The following is a 27,223-nucleotide window of genomic DNA, read 5'->3' on the forward strand; positions in this document are numbered from 1 at the left end:
GTTGATCAAATTACTGGGTCAATGTGTGTCAACTCGCTTAGACTAGTGCCATCTTAGTTTGGGTTGTTCGGAGATTGAATTATGCTCCAAGGTCAACCCAACTAAAAATTTTAATGCAGGGATAGTATGCTAGAGCCTGTCAGCTTTTTTGAGTTTTTATTTGCAATAATGAATTAAAGCTCCATAGGGTCTTCTCATCTTATTTGTTTATATCCACCTCTTCACAGATAGGTCAATTTCATTAATTAAAAGTGAGAGACAGCTGAACACTCATGTGGCCATTCATACAAGTCCCTATTTGCGGAACAAGTGATTATTCTACCTTTGCACTGTCAGGATACTGCGGCCATTGAACATATGTCACTGGGCAGGCAGTGCCTCTAATACTCGTAATGCTAGAGGTGATGTTTTTGGTAAACAGGCAGGGTAAGACTTGCAGAGTTCCTTTTAGTTTTTGTAATCTTTCCTTAGAGCATACCTGTGTTGGATTAACAGTATAAATAATAGGGTGTTTATTATATTGCTTATTAATATTAGGCTGTTAACTGTCAGTGGATTATTGGGGTCTGATATAAGCTTATGCAATGGAGAATATCTTCATGTTACTTATATTAACATTACTGGTTCTATTAAGTAATAGATTAGTCCAATGTGATGTTAGGAGTTCAGTAGGATGATTAGAATTTTAGATAATTAGATGTTGAGCTTGAACGCTTTCTTAATTGGTGGCTGCTTTTGGGCCATATATGCCAACTATGGTGGTGATATTTTTTATTCCCTGTAGGACAGTTGTTTCCTAATGTCTAAAGAGCTGTCCCTCTTTAGACTAACACTTAAAGTTACAGGGAGATTAAGTAAGTCTGTGGGTAAGTTTAAAGTTGAAAACAATCAGCTGTTACCAGGCTTGGTAGGCTTGTCACCACTACTCATGAATCTTCCCACTATTTTGCTACATAGATGGGTGTGCTGTTTTAGCTGTTACTGAGTAGCTCGTCTGGTTTTGGGGGACTTGGTTATGGTTCTCTGTGTAAAGTTATTTCTGGTTAATACATTATGCAGAAGGTATAAGGGTTTGTCTTTGCTTTTTAATGCTGTATTCAGTTCTTTCATCTTTCCCTTAGGGTATTATGTCTATTATGCCAGGGTGAAAATTTCTATCACCTATAGCTTTTTCTAAGGTAAATGGTTGGTTTAAGATGGTTTGATAATATTTTTAGTGAAGTTTGGGTTTAGAGTTGGCTCAAAGTGATCAGGTCGTGACAAAATCTTCTGGATGTAAGCCAGATGCTTTAAGTTAAGCTGTACTTTGGTTTATCCAAGCACACTTTCCAGTATGTTTACCATGTTACAACCTATCTCCTCTATATGTGCATAGAGAGTTTTTAGTAATTTCTAGAATAATATTTGAGGAGAGTGATGGGAGGGGTGTGCATGCTTCATGGCTTTATTCAACCAAGCACTCTGATCTTGGTTTACTGCTAAATCCTCCTTGAGCCCTTCGATTTCATAAAGGTTGTTGTGAGATTTTCTGGGTATACAAAATGTAGTCTACTTCTTGCCACCTCATGAGCTACACCTTGACCTAACGTTTTTATGTGTACACTTGTGCTTACTCTATAACCACTTTAGGGTTTGCTGAAGATGGTGGTATATAGGCTGGGCAAGAGGTGGTGAGGTATATTGGGGTTTATTAATTATAGAACAGGATCCTCTAGAGGGATATAAGCAGCATCAAATCCTTTGAGTTTTTAGCTGTTGCTGGTAGTATTCTGGCAAATTTTTTTTTAAATGTAACTATTAGAGTTTAGGGGTAAGCATAGTGGGGTATCTAATCCCAGTTTGGGTCTTAGCTGTTGCATCTTCAGGATATTAAAGGCACATTCATAGTATATTTTATTTCAGCTGGAGTTTTTTACAACTTAGACGGAGTTTAGCTTTATTGAGGGCAGACCTTAAGCACTGTTTTCACCAAGTTCAATTAGCTTGGGTTAATCGTATGGCTGCGGTGGCTGGCATGAAATTGACCAATGCTAGATATCACTATAGATTAAAGTCTCACTTATTACTAAATATTTATCAGTGCTTTTTCCCATGGGGGTGTGGTTGAGTAAAGTGTTTTGAGCTGCATTTGTGCATGCTTGATACTTGCTCCTTTTGTTCCGGGTGATCTAAAAGGCATTTTCACTGGGGTGGGGATGCTTGCATGTGTAATCTTACTAAGAGCTAATAGAAAGGCCAGGACCATGCTCACTTCGGCAGCACATATGCTAAAACTGGAAACATACAGAGAAGATTAGCATGGCCCCTGAGCAAGGATGACACGCAAATTCGTGAAGTGCTCCATATTTTCATGTAGCTGAAAACCACGGCACGAGAACTACGTCATGAATGCACAAGCCTCAGTAACTGATGCGATCAACCAGAAGAAAGGTATCAGTGATGGAAGATCAAATGAATGAAATGAAGCATGAAGAGAAGTTTAGAGAAAAAAGAATAAAAAGAAACGAACAAAGTCTCCAAGAAATATGGGACTATGTGAAAACACCAAGTCTACATCTAATTGGTGTACCTGAAAGTGACGGGGAGAATGGAACCAAGTTGGAAAACACTCTGCAGGATATTATTCAGGAGAACTTCCCCAATCTAGCAAGGCAGGCCAACACTCAAATTCAGGAAATACAGAGAACACCACAAAGATACTCCTTGAGAAGAGGAACTCCAAGACACATAATTGTCAGATTCACCAAAGATGAAATGAAGGAAAAAATGTTAAGGGCAGCCAGAGAGAAAGGTCGGGTTACCCACAAAGGGAAGCCCAAAAGACTAACTCCTGGTATTTTGGCACAAACTCTATGATCCAGAAGAGAGTGAGGGCCAATATTCAACATTCTTAAAGAAAAGAATTTTCAACCCAGAATTTCATATCCAGCCAAACTAAGCTTCATAAGTGAAGGAGAAATAAAATACTTCACAGTAAAGCAAATGCTGAAAGATTTTGTCAACACCAGGCCTGCCCTAAAAGAGCTCCTGAAGGAAGCACTAAACATGGAAAGGAACAAACAGTACCAGCCACTGCAAAAACATGCCAAATTGTAAAGACCATTGAGGCTAGGAAGAAACTGCATCAACTAATGAGCAAAATAACCAGGTAACATCATAATGACGGGATCAAATTCACACATAACCATAATAACCTTAAATGTAAATGGGTTACATGCTCCAATTAAAAGACACAGACTGGCAAATTGGATAAAGAGTCAAGACCCATTAGTGTGCTGTTTTCAGGAAACCCATCTCACATGCAGAGACACACATAGGCTCAAAATAAAGGGATGGAGGAAGATCTACCAAGCAAATGGAAAACAAAAAAAGGCATGGGTTTCAATCCTAGTCTCAGACAAAACAGACTTTAAACCAACAAAGATCAAAAGAGACAAAGAAGGCCATGACATAAAGGTAAAGGGATCAATTCAACAAGAAGAACTATCTTAAATATATATGCACCCAACACAGGAGCACCCAGATTCATAAAGCAAGTCCTTAGTGACATACAAAGTGACTTAGACTCCCACACAACAATAATGGGAGACTTTAACACCCCACTGTCAACAATAGACAGATCAATGAGACAGAAAGTTAACAAGGATATCCAGGAATTGAATTCAGCTCTGCACCAAGTGGACCTAATAGACATCTACAGGACTCTCCACCCCAAATCAACAGAATATACATTCTTTTCAGCACAACACCACACCTATTCCAAAATTGACCACATAGTTGGAAGTAAAGCACTCCTCAGCAAATTTAAAAGAACACAAATTATGACAAACTCTCTCTCAGAACACAGTGCAATCAAACTAGAACTCAGGATTAAAGAACTCACTCAAAACCGCTCAACTAAATGGAAATTGAACAACCTGCTCCTGAATGACTACTGGGTAAATAATGAAATGAAGGCAGAAATAAAGATGTTCTTTGAAACCAATGAGAACAAAGACACAACATACCAGAATCTCTGGGACACATTCAAAGCAGTGTGTAGAGGGAAATTTATAGAACTAAATGCCCACAAGAGAAAGCAGGAAAGATCTAAAATTGACACCCTAATATCACAATTAAAAGAACTAGAGAAGCAAGAGCAAACACATTCAAAAGCTAGCAGAAGGCAAGAAATAACTAAGATCAGAGTAGAACTGAAGGAATTAGAAACACAAAAAACCCTTCAAAAAATCAATGAATCCAGGAGCTGGTTTTTTGAAAAGATCAACAAAATTGAAAGACACTTAGCAAGACTAATAAAGAAGAAAAGAGAGAAGAATCCAATAGATGCAATAAAAAATGACAAAGGAGATATCACCACTGATCGCATAGAAATACAAACTACCATGAGAGAATACTATAAACATCTCTATGCAAATAAACTAGAAAATCTAGAAGAAATGAATAAATTCCTCGACACATACACTCTCCCAAGACTAAACCAGGAAGAAGTTGAATCTCTGAAAATACCAATAACAGGCTCTGAAATTGAGGCAATAATTAATAGCTTACCAACCAAAAAAAGTCCAGGACCAGATGCATTCACAACCAAATTCTACCAGAGGTATAAGGAGGAGCTGGCACCATTTTTCCAAAACTATTCCAATCAATAGAAAAAGAGGGAATCCTACCTAACTCATTTTATGAGGCCAGCATCATCCTGATACCAAAGCCTGGCAGAGACACAATAAAAAAAGACAATTTTAGACCAATATCCTTGATGAACATTGATGCAAAAATCCTCAATAAAATACTGGCAGACCAAATCCAGCAACACATCAAAAAGCCTATCCACCATGATCAAGTGGGCTTCATCCCTGGGATGCAAGGCTGGTTCAACACACACAAATCAATAAACATAATCCAGCATATAAACGGAACCAAAGACAAAAACCCCATGATTATCTCAATAGATGCAGAAAAGGCCTATGACAAAATTCAACAACGCTTCATGCTAAAAACTCTCAATAAGTTAGGTATTGATGGGACGTATCACAAAATAATAAGAGCTATCTGTGACAAACCCACAGCCAATATCATACTGAATGGGCAAAAACTGGAAGCATTCCCTTTGAAAACTGGCAGAAGACAGGGATGCCCTCTCTCACCACTCCTATTCAACATAGTGCTGGAAGTTCTGGCCAGGGAAATCAGGCAGGAGAAGGAAATAAAGGGCATTCACTTAGGAAAAGAGGAAGTCAAATTGTCCCTGTTTGCAGATGACATGATTGTATATCTAGAAAACCCCATCATCTCAGCCCAAAATCTCCTTAAGCTGATAAGCAATTTCAGCAGTCTCAGGATACAAAATCAATGTGCAAAAATCACAAGCATTCTTATACACCAATAACAGACAAACAGAGAGCCAAATCGTGAGTGAACTCCCATTCACAATTGCTTCAAAGAGAATAAAATACCTAGGAATGCAACTTACAAGGGATGTGAAGGACATCTTCAAGGAGAACTAAAAACCACTGCTCAATGAAATACAAGAGGATACAAACAAATGGAAGAACATTCCATGCTCATGGGTAGGAAGAATCAATATCATGAAAATGGCCATACAGCCCAAGGTAATTTATAGATTCAATGCCATCCCCATCAAGCTACCAATGACTTTCTTCACAGAATTGGAAAAAACTACTTGAAAGTTTATATGGAACCAAAAAAGAGCCCACATTGCCAAGTCAATCCTATGCCAAAAGTACAAAGCTGGAGGCATCACGCTACCTGACTTCAAATGATACTACAAGGCTACAGTAACCAAAACAGCATGGTACTGGTACCAAAACAGAGATATAGACCAATGGAACAGAACAGAGACCTCAGAAATAACACCACATATCTACAACTATCTGATCTTTGACAAACCTGAGAAAAACAAGCAATGGGGAAAGGATTCCCTATTTAATAAATGGTGCTGGGAGAACTGGCTACCCATACATAGAAAGCTGAAAGTGGATCCCTTCCTTGCACCTTATACAAAAATTAATTCAAGATGGATTAAAGACTTAAATGTTAGACCTAAAACCATAAAAACCCTAGAAGAAAACCTAGGCATTACCATTCAGGACATAGGCATGGGCAAGGACTTCATGACTAAAACACCAAAAGCAATGGCAACAAAAGCCAAAATTGACAAATGGGATCTAATTAAACTAAAGAGCTTCTGCACAGCACAAGAAACCACCATCAGAGTGAGCAGGCAACCTACAGAATGGGAGAAAATTTTTGCAACCTACTCATCTGACAAAGGGCTAATATCCAGAATCTACAATGAACTCAAACAAATTTACAATAAAAATACAAACAACCCCATCAAAAAGTGGGCAAAGGATATGAACAGACACTTCTCAAAAGAAGACATTTATGCAGCCAAAAAACACATAAAAAATGCTCACCATCACTGGCCATCAGAGAAATGCAAATCAAAACCACAATGAGATGCCATCTCACACCAATTAGAATGGCGATCATTCAAAAGTCAGGAAACAACAGGTGCTGGAAAGGATGTGGAGAAATAGGAACACTTTTACACTGTTGGTGGGACTGTAAACTAGTTCAACCATTGTGAAAGTCAGTGTGACGATTCCTCAGGGATCTAGAACTAGATAATACCATTTGACCCAGCCATCCCATTACTGGGTATATACCCAAAGGATTATAAATCATGCTGCTATAAAGACACATGCACATGTATGTTTATTGCAGCACCATTCACAATAGCAAAGACTTGGAACCAACCCAAATGTCCAACAATGATAGACTGGATTAAGAAAATGTGGCACATATACACCATGGAATACTATGCAGCCATTTAAAATGATGAGCTCATGTCCTTTGTAGGGACATGGCTGAAGCTGGAAACCATCATTCTCAGGAAACTATCGCAAGGACAAAAAACCAAACACTGCATATTCTCACTTATAGGTGGGAATTGAACAATGAGAACACATGGACACAGGAAGGGGAATATCACACACTGGGGACTGTTGTGGGGTGGGGGTACGGAGTAGGGATAGCATTAAGAGATATAGCTAATGCTAAATGACGAGTTAATGGGTGCAGCACACCAACATGGCACATGTATACATAGGTAACAAACCTGCACATTGTGCACATGTACCCTAAAACTTAAAGTATAATAATAAAAAAATTAAAAAATTAAAAATAAGAAAAAGAAAGGACAGGGCCAAACCTATTTGTTCATGGTGTTGTGCAGACCCATCTAGACATTTTTAGTGGTGTCTTGCTTTGAAATAATTAAGCTACATTAACTGTATAAATACTTAAGTCTAAAATTAGAACATGAGAAGGAAAGAAATAAATATAAATAGCCATTTACAGTTCTTGGAATTCAGGGTCTTTACAGTTGAATTGGAAGAGGTTGAGAGGATTACTCATAATTAGAATATAATCGATTTAGGGTACAATATAGGGGGTAGCGCTTTTACAGGAATATGCTCAAGGTATTATATTACTTTAGGGTGGAAGTTTAGTTATTGCATTTATTATATAAAATGGAGGCTTGATTTGGGGGGAATCTTAAGATTTTTAGGAAAATTATATCAATCGAGGGGTAGCTGTTGGGGTATTCATGGTTAAAATATTATTTTGGGGCTCTGACTGGGTTGCATTTTAGTGTCTTGTTTTTGGGGTTTGGCAAGGGTACATTTACCTTGGTTGATGGTAAAGTCAGAGATGGGAGAGGAGGAGTTTGCAAATTTAATCAGAAATAGTTCTTGAAAGTGAGCATACGTGCATGAGCATACGTACGTGAGCATACGTGTCTATTAATTGTTATGTCCTTCAAGCATTAATTAATTCACAACTTATTGTTATTATGCCAGCCCAGAATATTCAATTTAAGCTCAGCTTCTACGATTGATTTGGCAGGAATCAAATCCGAGTTCGTCTACAGCTGATTCGGCAGGTACCAGGGCGTCCGCGATGGTGAGTGATAGCACCGCGATGGTGAGTGACAGTGCTGCCGTGACTGGTTAATAGGGTGGTAGTCGTTAGTCCATCGAGATATCTTATTTAAGGGGAATGTGTGGGCGATTTTAGTTTCATGGTCCTGAAGTAAGAACCAGATGCCAGGTATAGTTTCAAAACAGTCACCCCCAAGTGTTGTGGGCCCAGAGCGAGGAGGTTAGTACTCCCAAGCAGGATGATGATTTCAAGGAGGTTGGTGGATTAAGAGATCAGAATGTAGTAGGGGATATCCATGTTGATAAGGGATTTCTTGACTGAAATGTGCTGTGTCCAATGAACGAAGTATGCACTATGTAATATTAAGGATATCTAGTACGGGTCAATATTCGCATGGATTAGACTTGTATTGTACAGTCAATAATAGTAGATGTACCACAGTTGATTAAGGGAATGTCAATACATGCTTATATGTATATGGACTGGATTTGTAATGTATCTTCATGTATCAATGTACTATGTATAAGTAAACAATTATAGTACTATATAATTCATGGGTGCTAACAGTAATGCACAAAGTACATGAAACCACTAATGTATTAGTGCTAGTTGATTAATATTGACATAGTAGTTAAAGTGTGTGCTGTGAAAAAATTCAAGGAGTAGTTTAATTAGAATTTCAGCTTTGGTTGTTGACGATGAAGTGGGAATGCTTTTTCCCTGAGTTGTCCTGGGGAGGGGATTCTCCATTTCTCGTTTACAAGACCAGAGTATTCAATTATACTGCAAGAGCATTTTCATTTAAGTAATTTATTTTCAATTAGGGTAGTGAGCAGTATAAGGGTGAGGATGGTAGAGAAGTACATGATAGATACTGTCTGTCTGATGGCAATAAAAGATTATTGGACTGGCTGCCCTCCGATTCAGGTGAGTGTAAGCAGGTCAGCCACTAGGGTTCATAATAGGCATTAACTTAATGGCCGCAATATTATGCTTTGTTGTTTAGACTTGTGAAATATGGGAATACTGCTAGAATGAGAATGGAGAATACGAGGGCCAGTGCGCTTCCTAATTTGTAGGGATAGATCACAATATTGCATATGCAAACAAAAAGTACCACTCTGGCTTAATGTGGGGTGGGGTATTGAGGGGGTTGGCTAAAGGGTAATTATCAGGTTTGCTCAGGAGATCAGGCAAAAATAGTATTAGAGTTATTAGAAGGAGGAGAAGAAAAATTAAACCTAGAATATCTTTGGTTGTACAGTAGGGGTGGAAAGTGATTTTGTCGGGATCTGATGAAACCCCTGAAGGGTTGTTAGATTCTGTTTCATGCAAGAATAAAAGAACAGTTGCGAGCACTATAATGATGAAGGGTAAGATGAAATGGAAGGTGAAAAATCGTGTGAGGGTGGCTTTGTCAACTGAGAATCTGCCTCAGATTCGTTGTACAATGTCAGTTCCAATATATGAGATGACTGATAGTAGATTTGTAATTCCTGTAGGGCCTCAGAATGATATTTGGCCTCATGGGAGCACGTAGCCCATGAATGCTGTTGTTATAGTCGTGAATAGGAGGATAATGCCAATATTTCAGGTTTCTAGGAATGGAAATGAACCGTAGTATAAGCCTCAACAACATGTAAGAAGAGGCAGATGAAAAATATTGAAGCCCCGTTGGCATGAAAATAGCAGACCATTCAGCCTTAGTTTACATCTTGGCCAATATGAGCGACTGAAGAAAAGGCAGCTGAGGTGTCTGATGTATAGTGCATGGCCAAAAATAATCCTGTGATGATCTGGAGAATTAGGCAGGCACCAAGAAGAGAGCCGAAGTTTCATCATGTGGAAATGTTAGGTGGTGTGGGAAGATCATTAAATGAGTAGCTAATAATTTGTATTAGTGGATGTGTTTTGCAGGTATTGGTCATTAGTGTTCTTATAAATGTAGTACAAAAATGGTTTTTCATATCATTAGTCATTTTTATAGTTCATGTGGGAATAATGGCATATGCTTTATTTTTATTAAGTATTCTCTGGTTATAGGGTTTTTAGGTTTTTCTTTGAAACTTTCTCTTATTTATGGAGCCCTAGGGCTAATTATTAGGGGTGCTGTGGGTTGTGATATACTGTTGAATTTTGGTGTGGGTTTCGTGGGGTTAATAGTCTTTTTGATTTATTTGGAGGGCATGATGATTGTTTTTGGTTATACTATGGCTATGGCTATTGAGGAATATCCTGAAATATGAGGGTAAAGTATTGACATTTGAGGGGCTTTCTTATTAGGATTATTAATAGAGTTGATGTTGGTTCGATGAATAGTTGAGTACGATGTGGTATTCACGATTGATTTTAATAGCGTAGAGAGTTGGGTTATTTTTTAGCATGAGGGGGCAGGGTTATTGCCTGAGGATTCTGTAGGTGTCGCTGCCTCATTCAGGAGATGAAGGCCTAGTACTCAGGTGTTGAGACTTTTTGGCTTAAATTTCTTCCCATGGGTGCACTGTGACATATCACCGAGTTAGAATTGTAATAATGTGACTCTTCTGCCTGGACCCTGCCAACAGGGGATATTATCACATATATCTGGGCCTATAAGGGGGTTATTTGTCTCTCCTGCCTCTGCCCCCAGAGGAGATTGTGTAATATCGTTTGACTTAACATCTAGGGTAATATGACCCTCCTCTCCTGCCTGGGTCCTGCTCACCAAAGAAATTGTGACATACCACTGATAGCAAAACCTAAATGATGTCACTGTCCTTCATATTCTAGACTCTGCCAAGAGAGAGGATTACTACATATTGCAGAGCCCAGCACCTAGGTGGAGTGACTTTCCTCTTCTTCTTCCCTGTCTATGGTGGGCTTGGTGACATACTTTGAGGTTGTACCCAGGAGATGTGACTCTTCTGGCTAGACCCAGCCTACAAATGAGATTATACTGTATCACTGGCTGAGCACCCAGGTGATGTGACTCTGTTGGCTTGTCCCTGCTCACAGGTGAAATTGTGACATATACCTGGGTTAAGCACACATGCACAATAATAACTCTCATACCTAGATCCAGAAAGTAGAAATAATTGACACTCATAGCCAGTCTCGTGGCCATGGGTAAAGTCCTCAGTTTTTCACTTGTATAAAGTTCATGAAGGGTTAAGAGTGTCATAACAGAGACCAGCAACTAAGTGAGAATATGATTCTTCTATGCACATCTGGCTGACATGATTGTCGTGCTCACACATGAACAGGGCCTAGGAATGAGGTACTAAATCTCACACATAAAAAGCAGTCAAAAGTTGAAATAATTACTCTTATACATGGATCTGATTCACAGGTGAATTGGTAATATTTGAACCATGATTCAGCACACCTGTGGTGCTGTGAGTTCTTTACTGGAACACAATTTTCAAGTGGGATTGGGGCAGTTATACATGGATCTTGCCCATTGTTGAGATTGTGACTCCTCTACTTCCACCCAAACCACAGAAAGTGTTGACTCACATACAGGAAACCAGGATTTGTGTGGGATATGAAACTTATTTCTGAGCCTTTCTGAGAGCGTGATTGGGACAGTTAACTTTGCCCAGCACATGAATAATTTGACTGTCTTTTCTAGGCCCAGAACACAGATGAAATTGTGCCATATGTGGAACAAGCAGCTAAGCAATATGTAATACCTTCCTTGGCTTAGCCTACAAAGGGTACTTTTATATATCACTGGGACCATCATCCAGGTGATGTGAGTTATCTGCCTAGAACCTGCCTACAAAGAGAATTGTGTCTTAAATCTAGGTCTATCACATAAGTGATGTCACTCCCTTCTACTGCCTTAGCCCTGCACTTACAGTGCATTGTGACACACAACTGGGCACTTCACACAGGTAATGTGATTCTCCTTTTTGGGTTCTGCCAACAGGAAGCATTGTAACATATCACTTGGCTCAGCACGTGATGTTTCTTTGCTTTTGACTGGGCTCTGACCACAGGGTATTGTGACATATTGCTGGGTTCAGCACAAATGTGAGGTCACTCTCCAGGCTTGGTACTGCACAGAACAGACATTGTGACATATATCTAGGCAAATTGCCTAGAAGTGAATCCCCTCTCCTGCTTAAGTCCTTCCCACAGAGAGCGGTTTGATATGTCACTGAAACCAGCATCCAGGTGATGTGATTCTTCTGCCAGGGTCCTGCCCACAAGGTGGATTGTGACATCTCACTGGACCTGCACACACATAGGTGATGTAACTTTCTTGCCTTCTCTCTGGCTGCAGGTGGTATTGCTCCATATGCCTGAGACCCTAACAAAAGCCTAATTACAACTCATATGCCTGGAGCCAGGACATGTGCAGGATGGTGAGTCTTATTCTTAAACCTTTGCAAAAGTGTACTAGTGACATATACCTTTGCTCAGCTCCTGAATGATTTAAAAATTCTACCTGGGTATATCCCTCAAATCAGATTTTGACAGATACTTAGGCAAAGCACCTTGGTGATTTGACTGTGCTATATTAACAATGTCCTCTGAGGGGACTGTAACATATTTCTGGACTCATCATCTAGGTTACATGACTCTCATCTCCTGCCTGTACCCTGCTTCCTTTGGTAATTGTAGCATTTCTAAGCACTGCATCCAAATGATATAACTGTGTTGCCTGGGCCCTGTCTACAAGAGGCATTGTGACATATTTGGAGGCCCATCATTTGGATGACAAGACTCTCCTCTCCCTGCTTGGACACTGCCCACAAAGGACATTGTGCCACAGAGCTGGACCAAGAGCACAAGTTATGTGACATTTCTGACAGGACCCTGCCTACAAAGAGAATATTGGAATATTTCTAGCCCACCATTTAGCCCTGAAGTAGCTGTTCTGCCTGCTTCATAATCACAGAGGGAATCGTAATATATACCTAGGCATGGGTCACAGACATGATAATGACTCTCATATGTGGACTCAGCCAACAGAGGATATTATGACTCTTATAACTAGGTTTAGGGACATGTGTGATGTCCTAGGTCACCTTCTTGTAAAAAGGTTACAAAAGATTACAACATTCTCACATATTTTACAAAGTCTTTGGGTTATACAGACAGAGTAAAAGTAGGGCTCAGCACACAGGCGAAATTGTGAGTCTTTTATGCAGAACCAGCTGACAGTAAGGACTGTCGTTATCTCACATGGATGAAGCGAACTGTCACACATGAAAACAAGACATGTATGGTATTGTAAATCTCATCTTTGGAATTTTCTGACAGCATGATTGTGCGGTATAAATCTTTTCTAAGCACCTGTGTAATTTGACTCTCCAGACTTGTTCCAGCCCATAGAAGGGACTGTGATATCTACCTAGGCCAACCTCCAGGTGATGTGACTCTCCTGGCTGGGCCCTTCTCTCAGTAAGGATTGTGACATATCACTGGATCTAACACTCAGGTGATGCTACATTCTTGCCTGCACCATGCCTACCACAATTATTGTAACATATTTCTGTGTCCACCTCATAGGTGATGTAACTTTCCTCTCTGGAATGGGTCCTGCACAAAGGAATGATAGTAACATATTGCAAAGCCAGACACACAGGTGAGGGTACTCTTTTGCCAAAGCCATGCCCAAAGGAGGACATTTTGACATATCTCTCAGCCTATCATCTAGGTTATGTGGCTCTCCTACTTGGGCCCTGCCAGCCTGGAGAGTGACACATTTCTATGCCAGGCACACAGGTGATGGTACTCTTTTGCCAGGGCTTTGCTTCATAGAGGACATTGTGACATAACCCTGGGCCTATCACCTAGGTGAGGTGACTCCCTCCTTGGGACCTACCCACATGGAGCATTGTGGCATAAGAGAGAACCAGCACCTAGGTGATGTAACTCTCTTGCCTGGGTGCTGTCCTAAGAGAGCCTTGTGACATATCTCAACACCCAGCACTCAAATGATATGGCTCTTCTGCCCAGTTTCTGCCCACATATTAAATTGTGACATATTTCTAGGGAAGCATCTAGGTGATATGACTCTCCTCATCTGCCTGAGTTCTGCCTACTGGGGACATGGGGACATATCTGTGATCCCATGACCTAAGTGATATGCCTCTCTTCCTCTGCCTGGGCCTTTAAAATGGTGGGATTGTGACATATTGCTGAGCCCAGCATTCAGGTCATGTGACTCTACTCTTTTTTGTGAACCATGCCCACAAAGGGAAATTTTGACCTATTGCACCCAGATGATGTTACTCTTCTGATAGAGTCCTGAAAAAAGAGGGAATTATTGCATACTGGTGGGCCCAGCTGCTGATGATGCTACAGTCCTTCCTGTGCCAGAGCCACAGACAGTATTTTGACATAATTTCGGCCCATTTGGTAGGTACTTTGGCTCTCATCCCTTGGCTAAGCTTTTCCACATTTGGAATTGGGTCATATTGCTGGGTCCTGCAACTAGTTAATATGACTCCCCTTTCTAGGTTCTGCCTAGAGGGGGCATTGCGACATATTACTTGACACATCACCTAAGTGTTGTTACTCTTTTCCTAATTTTTTGCCCAAAAATGGGATTATGACATATACCTTTCTTCATTTCACAGCCATGATGGTCCAAGTTATATTGGGATTCAGCCAATAGAAGATATTTTGCCTGTCATCCCTAAGCTTAGGACAATAGGTAAAATCCTGGGTTGCATATTTGTACAAAGCTCACAGAAGTTTACAACACTTACTCATAATGTATAAACTTGGGTGGTACAGACAGTTTCATAACAAGGCCCGGCAAAAAGTTAAGATTGTGACTCTCAATTACACACCCAGGTGAAAGTAAAATCTGTCACCATCCCACATTTACAAAGCCCACTGTTGCAGTACTGAGTCTAATAGGTGAAAACAGTACAAAGATGGAATTTTGACTCTCATATGTGCATCGGGCCACAGGTGCGATTGTGACTCATTTTTGGATCCATCTCACAGGCATAAAATGTGTCTCATTCCTGAACTTGGCCCAAATGAGAGATGTTGACTGTCATACCTAGGTTTAAGTCAATGTATAAAATTTTGACTCCATATGAACGTGTGGGCCTCAGAGTGGTTTGCAACTCTGATGCATGCCGTATAAAGCCCTCGGATGTTGTAGAGGGTTTCATGCAATTACCTAATATGCATGACATTGTGACTCTCATATAAACACCAAGCTATCAGTTAAAGGTGTCACCATCAAAGATGAGGAGACTGTGTCATGTCACTGGGCCTAGTACCCAGGTGTTAAAACTTTTCCTTTAATTGTATCGCAAGTGTGCATTGTGACATATCGTTGGGTCAGAATCATAATAAAGTGACTCTTCTGCCTGGGCCCTGTCAAAAAGGGATATTATCACATACTTCTGAACCTATCAGCTAGGTGATTTTTCTATTTTTCCTGTGCTTTGCCCACAAGGAACATTGTGACATTGCTGGACGTAGCATCTAGGAAATGTACTCTCCTCTCCTGCCTAGGCCCTGCCCACTAAAGGAATTGTGACATACCACTGAGTGCAAAACCTAGGTAATGCAATCTGCTCTTTATTCTGGAGTCTGCCAAAAGAAGGGATTATTACATATTGTTGAGCCCAGCACCTAGGTGGTGTGACTCTCCCCTTTTTCTTCAACCCTGTCTGCAGTGGACATGGTGCCATATTACTTGAGGCTGTACCCAGGTTATGTGACTCTTCTGACTTGGCCCTGGCTGCAAAGGAGATTATAATGGATCTTAGCTCAGAATCCAGATAATGAGACTCTTCTGCCTTATTTCTGCCCATGGGTGAAATTGTGATATAAGGAGAGATATTTTGACTGTCATAGCCAGTCTTATGGCAATAAGTAAAGTAATAGGTCTCATAATTGTATAAAGTTCACAGATGATTATGACACTCAGGCATACCATATAAAGTCTGAGTGGTACAGCATGTCATACCAGGGAACAGCAACCAGGTGAGATCATGACTCTTGGATGGACATCTAGCTGACACGATTGTCATTTTCACAAGAACACATACAAATAAGGTACTAAATGTCACACAGAAGAGCAGTTGAAGGCTAGGCACTGTGGCTCATGCCTGTAATCCCAGCATTTTGGGAGGCTGAGGTGGGTGGATCATCTGAGGTCAGGAGTTCAAGGCCAGCATGACAAATATGGTGAAACCCAATCTCTACTAAAAACACAATAATTGGCTAGGCATCATTGCATTTGCCTGTAGTCCTAGCTACTTGGGAGGCTGAGGCAGAAGAATCACTTGAACCCAGGAGGCAAGGGTTACAGTGAGCCAAGATTGTGCCACTGCACTCCAGCCTGAGTGACAGAGGGAGAATCTGACTAAAAAAAACAAAAAAACAAAAACAAAAAAAAACAGTTCTCAAAGATTGAAATTGTTCCTCTCATACACGGATCTGACCCATGGGTGTATTGGTGATGCATAATTCAGCACACCTGTGAGGCTGTGACTCCCCTACTGGAACACAATCTTGCAGTGGGATTGGGCATCTTATACATGGATTTTGCCCATTGATGAGATTGTAACTCTTCTCTTTGACCGCACTCATAGGAGGTGTTACTCACATACACAAAGCCAGGACTCGTGTGGGACTGTGAAACTTATTTCTGAATATTTTCTAGTGTGTGATTAGGACGTAAAAGTTAGCCCATCCCCTTGAATAATTTGACTCTTTTTTAGGCCATGACCACAAATGAAATTGTAACATACTTGGACTATACACCTAAGCAAAGGTGACTGGGCCTGCCTACAAAGGGCACTTTTATGTATCACCTGGGACCAGCACCCAAGTGATGTGAATTCTTTGCCTGTTCCCTGCCTATAAAAAGCACTGTGGCTTATATCTAGGTTCATCATGTAAGTGATGTGACTCCCTTCTACAGCCTCGGCCATGTACTTATGGTGCATGGTTACACATAACTTGGTACTGCACCCAGGTGATGTGACACTCTGTTTTGGGTCCTGCCAACAGGAAGCTTTGTAACACGTTGCTTGGCTGAGCACCTACATGATGTTTCTCCTCTCTTGCCTTGCCCTGACCACAAGGGAGATTGTGACATATTGCTAAACCCAGTACCAAGGCGAGGTCACTTTCATACCTTGGTCCTGCACATAGCAGCCATTGTGACACACATCTAGGCCAATTGCTTAAGTGAAGTGAGTCTCCTCACCTTCCTAAGCCCTGTCCAGGGGGAATTTTGATGTATCACAAAAACCAGCATCCAGTTGATGTGACTCTTCTTCCAGGGTCCTGCCCACAAGAAAGATTGTGACATCTCACTGGACAAGCACCCACCCAGGTGACGTGACCTTCCTGCTTGCTCTCTGCCCACAGGTGATATTGTGCCATATACCTGAGACCAGATAAGAGGACTAATCATGACTCTTAAACCTGGAGCCAGGTCATATGCAAGATAGTGTCCCCATTCTTGGAAATTTCCACCAGTGTTATTGTGACATATATCTTTTCCTAGCTCCTGAGTGATTTAATAATCCTGCCTAGGGTAGCCCACACATGAAGTCTGGACATTTACCTCAAGTGAGACCCTTGGTGATTTGACTCTCCTGTCTTAACAATATCCTCAGGAAGGATTGTAACATGTTTCTGGACCCATTTTCTAGGTTACCTGACTCTCCTCTCCTGCCTGGACCCTGCTTCCACTGGGGACTGTAGCATTTCCAAGCTCTGCATCCAAATGATAAGACTCTCTTGCCTGGTCCTTTCAACAGGAGATATTGTGACATATCTCTGGGTGATATGAGTCTCCTCTTCTGTCTGGATATTGCCCACAAGGAGCATTTTGCCATACAGTTGGACGTAGCCCCAAAGTTATGTGACTTTTCTGCCAGGAACTTGCCTGCAAGGAGAATATTGGAAAATTCTGGCTCAGCATTTAGGTGACATGGCTGTCATACCTGTTTCATTACTACAGAGTAAATTGTGACACACACCTTAGCACAGCTCACAGGCATGATAACGACTCTTATATGTGAACCCCACAAATAGGAGTAATTTTGACTCTCATAACTTGCTTTAGAAACACGAGTGATTAAATCTCTTTCCGGTAAAAAAAAAAAAAAGTCACAGAACATTATAACAGCCTCAGATATTTTATAAAGCCATTGGCTTGTACACAGAGTGTCATAACAGAACCCAGCAGGAAGGTGAAATTGTGAGTCTCATATGCACACCCAGCCAACAGTAAGAACTGTTACTGTCTCACATATATGAAGCCAACTGTTACTCATAAAAACAGAACATTTGTGGTATTGTACATCTCATCCTGGGAATTTTCTGCCAGTGTGATTGTGATATAAATTGTTGCTGAACACTTGTGTGATTTGACTCTCCAGACTGGTTAGAGCTGGCATATGTTATTGTGATATCTACCTGGGCCAACTTCTAGGTGATGTGACTCTCCTGCCTGGGCCCTGCTCTCAGTGAGAATCATGAAATATCACTAGATCCAGCACCCAGGGCATGTTACATTTTTGCCTGAGCCATGCTCACAGAAATCACTGTGACATATCACTGTGTCAAACACTAAGGTGACATAACTCTCCTCATAGAATGTGCCCTGCACACAGTGGGAGATAGTGACATATGGCTGGGCCAGGCACACGGGTAACAGTACTCTTTTGCTAGGGCCGTGTCCTAAAGAGGGCATTGTGACAAATCTCTGGGCCTATCACTTAGGTGATGTTGCTCTCCTGCTTGGGTCCTAATTACCTGAATAGTGACATATTACTAGGCTAGGCTCACAAGTGATGGTACTCTTTTGTCAGGGCCATGCCTCAAGGAGGACATTGTGACAAGTCTTTGGAACTATCACCTAGGTGATGTGATTCCCTGCTTGAACCCTGCCCACATGGAGCAATGTGACATATGGGTAGAACCTGCACCTATTTGTTGTAGCTCTCTTCACATGTTAGATTGTGTCATATACCTAGGGAAGCATGTAGGTGATAGGTCTCTGCCAACAATGGATATTATCACTTATCTCTGGGTTTATAAGCTAGGTAATTTGTGTCTCCTGCCTGTGCCCTGTCCCCAGAGGACATTGTGACATGTTGTTTGGCTTAACATCTAGGTAATGTGACTCTACATTCCTGCCTGGGTCCTGCTCACCAAAGAAATTGTGACTTACCGCTGATTGCAAACCCTAAATGATGTGACTGTCCTTCATATTCTAGACTCTGCCAAGAGAGGGGATTATTACATATTGCAGAGCCCAGCACCTAGGTGGAGTGACTCTCATCTTTTTCTTCTACCCCGTATATAGCCAGCTTGGTGACCTACTATTTGAGTCTATACCCAGGTAATGTGACTCTCCTGTCTTGTCCCTGCTCACACATAAAATTGTGACATATACCTGGGTTAAGCACACATGCACAATAACTCTCATACCTGGACCCAGCCAGTAGAGATTTTTGACTCTTATGGTCAGTCTCACGGCCATTGGTGAAGTCCTGGGTTTTTCACTTGTATAAAGTTCACAAAGGATTATAACACTCAGGTATAGCATATAAAGCCTTAATGGTACAGACTGTCATAACAGGGACCAGCAATGACATAAGAATGTGACTCTTGTGTGCACAACTAGCTGACACGATTACCATTCTCACACATGAACAGGACCTAGGAATAGGGTCTAAATCTCACAAATAAAAAGCAGTCGAAGGTTGAAATAATTACTCTCATACATGGATCTGATTCACACGTGGTTTGGTAACATTTGAACCATGATTCAGCACACCTGTGATGCTGTGACTGCCCTACTGGAACACAATCTTCAAGTGGGATTTTGGATCTTATACATGGATCTTGCCCATTGATGAGATCGTGACTCCTCTACTCAGACCCAACTCATAGAAAGAGTTGACTCACATACATGAAACCAGAACTTTTGTGGGATGTGAAAATTATTTCTGAACATTTCTGAAAGTGTGATTGGGACAGGTAACTTTGCCAGCACATGAATAATCTGACACTCTTTTTTAGGCCCAGACCACAGATGAAATTGTGCAATATGTGGAACAAACACCTAAACAATATATAACACCTTCCTTGGCTCTGTCTACAAAGGGCACTTTTATATATCACTGGGACCATCAACCAGGTGATGTTAATTATCTTCCTGAAACCTGTCTACAAAGAGAGTTGTGTCGTATACCTAGGCCCGTCATGTAAGTGATGTCAGTCCCTTCTACTGCCTTGGCCCTGCACTTACAGTGCATTGTGACACATAACAAGGTACTGCACACAGACGATGTGATTCTCCTTTTTGGGTTCTGCCAAAAGGAAGCATTGTAATAAATCGCTTGGCTCAGTACCAAGGTGATGTTTCTTTGCTTTTGCCTGGGCCCTGATAACAGGGAGATTGTGATCTATTGCTGGGCCCAACAAAAATGTGAGGTCACTCTCCAGCCGTGGTACTTCACATAAGCGCCATTGTGACATGTATCTAGGCCAATTGCCTAGGTGAAGTGAGTTTCCTCTCTTGCCAAAGTCCTGCCCACAGAGGGGGTTTTGATATGTCACTGAAATCAGCATTCAGGTGATGTGACTCTTCTGCCAGGGTCCTGCGTACTAGGTGGATTGTGACATCTCACTGGACCCGCAACCATGTAGGTCATGTGACTTTCATGCCTTCTCACTGGCCACAGGTGATGTTGTGCCATATAACTGAGACCGTATCAAAAGCCTAATAACAAGACGTATGTCTGGAGCCCCGATATGCACAGGATGGTGAGTCTTATCGTTCAACTTTTCCACAAGTGTAATTGTGACATATACCTCTGCCCAGCTCCTGAATTAATTATTCTGCCTAGGTATCGCCCACAAATGAGAATTTGACAAATAACAGAGCCAAGCACCTTGATGATTTGACCGCGTTATCTTAACAATGTCCTCTGGAGGGATTGTAACATATTTCTGGACCCATTTTCTAGGTTACATGACTCTCCCCTCCTGCCTGTGCCCTGATTCCTTGGTAACTACAGCATTTCTGAGCACTGCATCCAAATGATATGACTGTCTTGCCTGGGCCCTGTCAACAGGAGGCATTGTGACATATTTTGGGGCCCATCATTTAGGGGATAAGACTCTCCTCTCCTGCTTGGACACTGCCCACAAGGGACATTGTGCCACAGCGCTGGACCTAGCACACAAGTTATGTGACGTTTCTGACAGGTCTGCCTAAAAAGAGGATTTTGGAATATTTCTGGCCCAGCATTTAGGTGATGTGGCTGTCCTGCCTGCTTCATAACCACAGAGGGGATTGTAACATATGCCTAGGCACAGCTCACAGGCATGATAATGACTCTTATATATGGATTCAGCCAATAGAGGATATTTTGACTTTTATAACCAGATTTACATACATGCATGATGTCTTGGATCACATTCCTGTACAAAGGTCACAAAAGATTACAACACTCACACATATTTTACAAAGTCTTTCGGTAATACAGACAGAGCCAAAGCAGGGCTCAGCACACACGTGAAATTGTTAGTCATGTATCCAGACCCAGCTGACAGTAAGGATTGTCATCATTTCACATGGATGAAGCCAACTGTGACACATGAAAACAGAACAAGTGTGGTATTGTGAATCTCATCTTTGGAATTTTCTGACAGTACGATTGTGATACAAATTTTTTCCAAGCAACTGTGTAATTTGACCCTACAGAGTTTTTCCAGCACATATATGGGATTGTGATGTCTACCTAGGCCAATCTCAAGGTGATGTGACTCTCCTGCCTGGGCCCTTCTCTCAGTAAGAATTGTGACATATCACTGGATCTAGCACACAGCTGACGTTACATTCTTGCCTGTGCCATGCCCACTAAAATTATTGTGACCTCTTTCTGTATCCACATATAGGTGATATAACCCTCTTCTCTGGAATGGGCCCCACACAAAGGAAGGATAGTGACATATTGCAAGCCCAGGCACACAGGTAAGGGTACTTTTTTGCCAGAGTCATGGACAAAATAGGTCATTGTGACATATCTCTGGGCCTATGACCTAGGGTAAGTGACTCTCCTGCTTGGGCCCTGCCAACCTGGAGTGTGACATATTTCTAGGCCAGGCACACAGGTGAGGGTACTCTTTTGCCAGGGCTATGCTTCATAGAGGACATTATGATATATCTCTGGGCCTATCACCTAAGTCAAGTGACTCCCTCCTTGGGCCCTACCCACATGGAGCATTGTGACATAAACAGAGAACCTGTACCTAGTTGATGTAACTCTCTTGTCTGGGTGCTGTCCTAAGAGAGCCTTTTGACATATCTCAGGACCCAGCACCCAAGTGATGTGGCTCTTCTGCCTCATTTCTTCCCACATGTTACACTGTGACATATTCCTAGGAAAGCAGCTGGGTGATATGACTCTCCTCTTCTGCCTGAGCCCTGCCTACTGGGGACATTGGGACATCTCTGTGCCCGTGATTTAAGTGATGTGACTCTCTTTTTCTGCCTGGGCCTTCACAATAAGAAGATTTTGACACATTGCTAAGCACTCAGAATATGTGACTCTCCTCTTTTTCCCAAATCATGCCCACCAAAAAGGAATTTTGACCTATTGCAGAGCCCAGCACCCAGATGATGTTACTCTTCTGCCTGGGATCTGCATAAAGCAGAAATTACGGCATATTACATATTGCTGGGCCCAGCACCCTTATGTTGTAACTCTCCTGCCTGTGCTGGAGCCGCCGAAAATATTTTGACATATCTTGGGCCCATTATGTAGGTGTTTTGGCTCTCATAACTTGGCTGTGTTTTTTCCACATGTGGGATGGTGTCATATTGCTGGGCCCAGCATCCAGTTAATGTGACCCAATTTCCTATGCCTTGCCTAGAGAAGGCATTGTGACATATCGCCTGGCACAGCACCTAAGTGATGTTACCCTACTGCCTAGTTTTTTGCCCACAAATGGAATTATGACATATACCATGTTTCAGTTCCAACTCATGATGATTATACTTATACTGGGATTCAGCCAATAGAAAATATTTTGCCTCTCATCTTTAAGCTTAGGTCGATAGGTAAGGTCCTGAGTTCCATGTTTGTACCAAGCTCACAGAAGCTTACAACACTAACTTATATTGCATAAACTCTTTCTTGGTAGAGAGATTCAACAGGGGCAGCCAAACATTCAGATTGAAACTCTTCATTACACACCCAGGTGAAATTAAAAGTTGTCACCATCCCACATTTACGCAGCCCACTGTTGAGGTCCTGAGTCTAACAAGGGAATACAGTTCAAAGTTTTAATTGTGACTTTTATATGTGGATCTGGACACAGGTGGGATGGTGACTCATTTCTGGACCCAGCCCACAGTTACAATAATGGGTCTTCTCCCTTAATCCTGCCTGTAGGTGAGATGTTGACTATCAAACCTGGGTTTAGGCAATATGTACGACTGTGAGTCCATATGAGCTTTTAGGCCTCAGAGAGGTTTGCAACTCTCACGCAGGCTTTATAATGCCCTTGGATGTTGTAGAGAGTGTAATACTTTGGCCCAACACACAAGTGAGATTGTGACTCTAAAATACACACTCAGCTAAAAGTTAAAGTTGTCACCCTTAAAGATGAAGAGATTGTGTCATATCACTGGGCCTAGTACCCAGCTGTTGAGATTTTTTGGCTGGAATTCCTTTTCATGGGTGCATTTTTACATGTTGCTGGGTCAGAATCATAATAATGTGACACTTCTGCCTGGGCCCTGTCAATAGGGGATATTATCACATATCTCTGAGCCTAATAGCTAAATGATGTGTTTCTCCTGCCAGTGCCCTGCCCACAAGTAACACTGTGACATATCGCTAGGTATAGCATCTAGGTAATGTGACTCTCCTCTCCTGCCTGGATCCTGCCCACTGAAGAAATTGTGACATAACACTGAGTGCAAAACCTAGGTGATATGACTCCCCTGTTTGTCCTGGACTCTGCCAAGAGAGAGCATTATAACATATTGCTGAGCCCAGCACCTAGTCATGGGGGTTCAATCAGGCTTGTGTGAAAAATATTAAAGATAGTTATAGTAATATCCAGAAGCCTTCCTGGAAGGCCGAGAAGTTTGCATAGCTTTAGTAAGGGTTATGGCTGAAGGCAACCTGATCCTTACCTTAAGTAAATAGCTTAAAGTGAGTACCAAGGAATGTAGAGTAGTTTATCTAACTAACTTGTTTTCCTAAGACTCACGTTTGTTTCACCATAGGTGCTTAATTGCTTTCTACTACTTGGGAGGTCCACAATGCCAATTGCCCTTTAGTATTGACTCAAGCCTTTGTCAAGTAAACATTCCTGAATAAATGTGAGTCTCACTGGCTGGTCAGGGCTGCAAATGTTTACAGCACTCTGCTTGGAGTCTGTAAGTGACCCAGATGCTCAGTAGAACTGGCAAAGCAGAATATCTGTGTGTCAGTATCTTCATTTATCAGTCATTGAGTCAGGGTCTGCAGGACAGACCCTGCACCTAGGGGGTGGGACTATTCACTATTTTTTCAACCCTGTGTTCAATGGGCATGATGACTTGTTATTTGAGACTGTACCCAGGTGATATGACTCTTCTGACTGGGTCCTGCCTACAGAGAAGATTATAATGTATCCCTGGCTCACAACCCAGATGATGTGACTTTTCTGTCTTGTCTCTGTCCAAAAGTGAAATTGTGACATATACCTGGATTCAGCTCATATGCACAATAATAACTCACATAACTAGACCCAGCCAGGGGATATATTTTGACTCACATAGCCATTCTTATGGCCATGGGTAAAGTCCTAGCTCTCCCACCTGTAAGAATTCACAGAAAAGTGTGCTACTCAGGCATATCATATAAAGCTTGAGTGGTACAAAGAGTGTCATAACAGGCACCAGCAACCAGGTGCTATTGTGATTCTTAGATGCACATCCAACTGACATGATAGTCATTCTCATATATGAGCAGAGCCTATGAACGAGGTACTTAATCTCACACACATAAGCAGTTGAAGCGTGAAGTTGTTACTCTCATACATTAATCTGATCCACAGGTGGTTTGGTGACGTTTGAACCATGATTCAGCAAATCTGTATTGCTTTTACTCCCCTACTGGAACACAATCTTCAAGGGGCATTGGGGCTTTTATACATGGATCTTGCCTATTGTTGAGATTGCGACTCCTGTATTTTGACCCAACTCATAGGAGGTGTTATCTCTCATACCTGAAGCCAGGACTTTTGTTGGACTGTGAAACTTATTTCTGAACATTTTTGAGTGTGTGATTGAGAAGTATGACTTTGCCCAGCGTCTGAGTGTTTTGACTCTTCTTTCTAGGCCCAGAGCACAGTTGAAATTGTGACATATGTACACCAAGCAACCAAGCAATGTATAACACCTCATTTGGCAATGGAATCGAGGGCACTTTTACATATCACTGAGACCAGCGCCCAGCTGATGTGAAATATTGGCCTGAACCCTGCCTACAAAAGCATTGTGGCTTTTATCTAGCTCCATTACATAAGTGATGTGACTTCCTTCTACTGCCTTGGCCCTGCACTTATGGTGAATCGTGACACAAAATTGGGTAGAGCAACCAGGTGATGTGACCCTTTTTTTTTTGGCGGGGGGCCAGTCTGTCAATAGGAAGCTTTAACATATCACTTGGCTCAGCACCTAGATTGTGTTTCTTCTCTCTAGCCTGGGCCCTGACCAGCACAGAGATTGAGGCATATTGCTGAACCCAGGACCAAGATGAAGTCACTCTCCTGCCTTGATCCTGCACACAGGGACCCTTGTGACATATATACAGGCCAATTGCCTAGGTAAAGTTTGTCTCCTCTCCTGCCTAAGCCCTGCCCATGGGGAGGATTTAGATATATCACTGAAACCAGCATCCAGGTGATATGACTCTTTTTCCAGAGTCTTGTGACATTTCACTGGACCAGCACCCACTCAGGTGATGTGACTTTCCTTTCTTCTCCCCACCCACAGGTGATGTTGTGCAATATACCTGAGACCAGATCAATGGCCTAATAATGACTCTTTTACCTAGAGCCAGGACATGTGCAGGATGGTAACTCTCATCCCTGAACCTTTCCACAGGTGTTATTGTCACATATACCTTTTCCAGCTCCAAAGTGATTTAATAATCCAGCCTAGTTATAGCCCACAGATAATATTTGGACATATACCTGAGTCAAGAACCTTGGTGATTTGACTCTCATGTCTTAACAGTGTCCTCAGAAGGGATCATAACATATCTCTGGACCCATCATCTAGGTTATGTGACTCTCTTCTCCTGCCTGAACCCTGCTTCCAGTGAAGAGTGTTGCATTTCTAAGCACTGCATCCAAATGACATGAGTTTCTTGCCTGGGCCGTTTCAACAGAAGGCATTGTGACATATCTCTAGGTCTATCATTTAGGTGATATGACTCTCCTCTCCTGCCTGGACACTCTCCACAAGGGGCATTATGCCATAGAGCTAGAGCTAGCAACCAAGTTTTGTGAATTTTCTGTTAGGGCCTTGCCTACAAAGAGAATTTTGGAATATTTCTGGCTTAGAATTTAAGTAATGTGGTTGTTCTGCCTGTTCAGTAACCACAGAGGAGAAGGTGAAATATATCTAGGCACCGCAAACAGGCATGATAATGAGTCTTGTATGTGGACCCAGCAAATAGGAGAAATTTTGACTCTTATAACTAGGTTTAGGAACATGAGTGATGTCCAGGATCTCCTTCTGGTAAGAAGGTCACAGAAGATTGCAACACTCACAATTATTTTGTAACACCTTTGGGTTGTATAGGGAGTGTCGTAACAGGGCCAAACACACAGAGGAAATTGTGACAGTCATATGCACACCTACCTGACAGTAAAGACTTTCACAATCACAAATGGATGAAGGCAACTGTCCTACATGAAAACAGGACATGTGTGGTATTGTACATCTAAAACCTAGAATTTTATTCCATTGTGACTGTGATATAAATCAATGCCAAGCACCTGCGTGATTTCACTCTTCAGACTGGTTCTATTCTACATATGGGATTTTTATATCTACCTATGCCAACCTTGAAGTGTTGTGACTTCTCTGTCTGGACCATGCTCTCAGTAAGAATTGTGACATCACTGGATCCAGCATCCAGGTGATGTTACATTTTAGCCTGCACCATGCCCACAGACATAACTGTGACATATCACTGTGTCCATCAGTTAGAAGATGTAGCTCTCCTCTATGGAATAGCTCTGTACACAGGGC

General features: G+C 41.7%; 1 long non-coding RNA gene and 3 pseudogenes across 1 annotated transcript; 3 read left to right on the forward strand and 1 right to left on the reverse strand.

The window, feature by feature from the left end:
• RNU6-656P (RNA, U6 small nuclear 656, pseudogene) lies at positions 2,244 to 2,350 on the forward strand (annotated as a pseudogene).
• On the reverse strand, positions 8,772 to 9,900 carry MTCYBP20 (MT-CYB pseudogene 20; annotated as a pseudogene).
• MTND6P20 (MT-ND6 pseudogene 20) lies at positions 9,982 to 10,399 on the forward strand (annotated as a pseudogene).
• Positions 12,080 to 26,979, forward strand: LINC00293 (long intergenic non-protein coding RNA 293). Its single transcript, NR_027012.1, has 12 exons — positions 12,080 to 12,129; positions 12,239 to 12,320; positions 13,471 to 13,546; positions 14,544 to 14,620; positions 17,223 to 17,275; positions 19,170 to 19,294; positions 19,978 to 20,095; positions 20,643 to 20,724; positions 21,862 to 21,937; positions 25,301 to 25,563; positions 25,664 to 25,788; positions 25,958 to 26,979. It is a non-coding gene; the product is annotated as a long intergenic non-protein coding RNA 293 (long non-coding RNA).
• Positions 26,980 to 27,223: the final 244 nt, after the last annotated feature.

The sequence above is a fragment of the Homo sapiens genome, chromosome 8 (assembly GCF_000001405.40).
Source record: "Homo sapiens chromosome 8, GRCh38.p14 Primary Assembly".
Taxonomy (NCBI): Eukaryota; Metazoa; Chordata; class Mammalia; order Primates; family Hominidae; genus Homo; species Homo sapiens.